The 3,254-nt window shown below is 38.7% G+C and overlaps 3 annotated features.

Moving 5' to 3' along the window:
- Positions 1,995-2,495: an enhancer, noted in NCBI's record as "H3K27ac hESC enhancer chr9:6106510-6107010 (GRCh37/hg19 assembly coordinates)". NCBI's record gives its function as "activates a minimal SCP1, AML or CMV promoter by ChIP-STARR-seq in naive and primed H9 embryonic stem cells {active_cell/tissue: H9 hESC(naive and primed)}" and the evidence as "EXISTENCE:reporter gene assay evidence [ECO:0000049][PMID:30033119]".
- Positions 2,244-2,293: an enhancer, noted in NCBI's record as "active region_28184". NCBI's record gives its function as "activates an Ori minimal core promoter by ATAC-STARR-seq in GM12878 lymphoblastoid cells {active_cell/tissue: GM12878}" and the evidence as "EXISTENCE:reporter gene assay evidence [ECO:0000049][PMID:35858748]".
- Positions 2,496-2,996: an enhancer, noted in NCBI's record as "H3K27ac hESC enhancer chr9:6107011-6107511 (GRCh37/hg19 assembly coordinates)". NCBI's record gives its function as "activates a minimal SCP1, AML or CMV promoter by ChIP-STARR-seq in naive H9 embryonic stem cells {active_cell/tissue: H9 hESC(naive)}" and the evidence as "EXISTENCE:reporter gene assay evidence [ECO:0000049][PMID:30033119]".

Here is a 3,254-nt window from a genome sequence, read left to right on the forward strand (position 1 = left end):
GCTTCTGCCAAGACTATCATCTGTGAACTCACGGAATGCCTTATCCACTGTCATGGTATTCCACACAGCATGGGAAATTACAACAGCCTAACCCAGGCAGGACTACAAATGATCCAGACCCTTCAGGAATGAAGGTTTGAGTCACTCCACCAGGTAAAAAAAAACACAACCTGTTGAGGTGCTTGCTGAAGGCAAAGGGAATACAGAATGGGTAGTAGAAGAAGGTAGTCATCAATATCAGCTATGACCACGTGACCAGCTGCAGAAACGAGGACTGTAATTGTCATGAGTATTTCCTCCTTCTTTTGTTAAAAACATGTTTGTGCAAGTATACATTTGTACTAAAAAAAAATTCATTTTATTTCCTTTCTCCTTCATCATGTGACATAGATTTATTGACTTCACATCAGCATTTAAGTATTAACTTTATGTAATAGTATTTGGTTTGGGGATTGGGGTGTTTCTGGTTGTATGAAGGATAGTTGTATTATGTTAGGCATAATTATGACTTTATTATTGTCTTTATTTGAAGATTATGTATGATCTCAGGAGATGTGTAAGGGTTCAAGTTGACAAGGTGTGGGCCTGTTGTAGTTAATACTGAGTGTCAACTTGAATGGATTGAAGGATACAAAGTATTGATCCTGAGTGTGTCTGTGAGGGTTTTGCCAAAGGAGATTAACGTTTGTGTCGGTGGGCTGGGAAAGGCAGACCCACCCTTAATCTGGGTGGGCACCATCTAATCAGCTGCCAGCGTGGCTAGAATATAAGCAGGCAGAAAAATATGGAAAGAGAAACTGACCTAGCTCCCCCAAGGCTATATCTTTCTCCCATGCTGGATGCTTCCTGCCCTCAAACATCAGACTCCAAGTTCTTCAGATTTGGAACTGGGACTGGCTCTCCTTTCTCCTCAGCCTACAGATGGCCTATTGTTGGACCTTGTGACTGCATGAGTTAATACTTAATAAACTCCCCTTTATATATATATATATATATATATATTCCATTAGTTCTGTCCCTCTAGAGAACCCTGACTAATACAGGCAGCAAATATGTAACTGTTCACAGCATTTCACTTCATTCCCAGAATTGACAGGCAAGCAGTCATATGTCCTTCCTTTATGCTCATGGGTCCTATGGATGCAAGGTAGTGTTTTCTAAAAAAAAATAAAATAAATAAAAAATCAAAAAGATAAGAAAATTTGAAGGTATCAGGGCTGGTTTTGAATCCTGGCTCTGCTCTGACGCTTATTCCACACCCCAGAACAAGTTATTTAATCCCTGTAAGTCCCACTGTGCTCATCTGTGAGATGGGAATATCAATCCCTACAATGTTGGGTTGCTAGAAAAGATACATGAGATAGCACCTGGAACAGAGCAAGTACTTCATAAAAGTTGGTTTTTAGCCCTAGCCCTTTATGCCTCCATTTCCTGCCTTTGATCATCATTGGTGTGAACTTTTCTGCCTACTGAATAATAGAGAAATGCTTTGTGATGATAAGAACATAGCAGAGAATGAAGTGTGTAAATTCTGGGGCAGAGAAAATTCTCTGGACTAAACACACTTTAGTGTACATGAACATCCCTCCAAATTTTATCAGGCTGGTGCCTATATGTTTCAGCTTAAAATATACTTCCTGATAAGCAGAAAGAAAATTTTAAGTAATAGATAAATAACGTGTACACATGGACATACAGTGTGGAATGATAGACATTGGAGATTCCGAACGTGGGAAGAAAGCATAGGGTAAGAAATTACTTAGTGAGTAAAATGTATATTATTCTAGCAGTGAATACACTAAAAATTCAGGCTTTACCACCACTCAATATATCCATGTAACAAAATTGTACTTGTACTCCCTAAATTTATACAAATAAAAATTAACTTCTCTCTCTCTCTCTCTTCCTGGAGGAAAATAACTAGTAGGTTTCTTTTGGGTTGGATAGGACTTATTTGCTTTTCAACACCCAAAGAATAACTTTGAAAATGTTATTTTCAAAATAAATTGAGTGTTCCCTGGAAGTTGCTGTATTTTTTTAATTGGTTATTTTGGAGTAGTCTAGAAGACTTCCCTACAATTATTGTTTAAGCCTTAAAATAAACCCTTTAGTATACAAATTTGAAAAAATTAAAGCTTTCTTGAAAATAGATTTATATATACTCTATCAGAGTGCAAGCAGGAAACAGAAGCTACACCAGTTACTTGAACATAGAGACTTTAAGGAATGGTTGGTAACTAGGTAACTGAAAGGATTAAATTAACAAACAAACAAACAAAAAAACAACAATGAAAGTAACATGGAGATAGCAACTGCAGGAAGCAGCTACCACTCCTGGGGCTGGGGATAGCAGAGGGAAGTGCTTGGATTTATTAGAAGTTAGAAACTTTGAGAAAGGGCCCCACAACTTGTGCTGGCTGTGAGCTGGGATAAGCAGCCCTGTGGGCCTGCCACTGAAACCTTTGAGGACAGGGCACTATTTATAGCTCACTTGTGTCTATGAGGTGGGGGCATGATGAAGCTGTTTTTGCGAAAGTTGCAAAAACTGCAAATTGGAATCAGCTGCTGCTATGGAACGGCATGGGTGAAGAAGCACTCCTGGAGTGATCTTACAGAAACCACAAGCTGACAAGCCTATAGGGAACAAACTGAAAGGAACCTGTCCTTTCTCTCTCCTCCAGCCTGGCTGTCTCCCTCTGTAACACCCTCTAGTGACAGAGCCTAACTGGAGCAGCTGGCAAAGCTAAAAATGATGTTTTGAGTCCCAGGCCTGAATTGCATAAGTGTATAGAGAAGGGTAGCTGAGAGACAATAACTTAATGTAAAACTTGTTTGAAAATAGACCTCTAATGCAAAGGAAAGACACGTTGAGGAATTGATATCCTCTCATTCCTTTTTCTTCCCAACTCCTAATTCAAGGCTAAGAGAATGTTCCAAATTGTAATGGTATTTGGAGGATGATACAAGATGAAATGTGACCCAACATTTCTTTTCCACCTTGCCATGACTCCAGTGGCTCCAAGACATTTGTATTCCACAGACTGGTAAAATTTTCTATTTGTGGCAACTGACTTAGAGTTGATTGCTTTTTATTTTGTCTAGTGATAGCATTAAGTACCCAGTAGCATTTCATTAAAGAAAGAATATTTCAACCACCAAAACTCAGGAAGAACATAATCTCAGAGTAACGAGTAGTTCTTACATGGATGATTTTGCTTTTTTGAAAAACCCATTGTTAAAATGCAAATACTGAG

The sequence above is a fragment of the Homo sapiens genome, chromosome 9 (genome assembly GCF_000001405.40).
Source record: "Homo sapiens chromosome 9, GRCh38.p14 Primary Assembly".
In the NCBI taxonomy this organism is placed as follows: domain Eukaryota; kingdom Metazoa; phylum Chordata; class Mammalia; order Primates; family Hominidae; genus Homo; species Homo sapiens.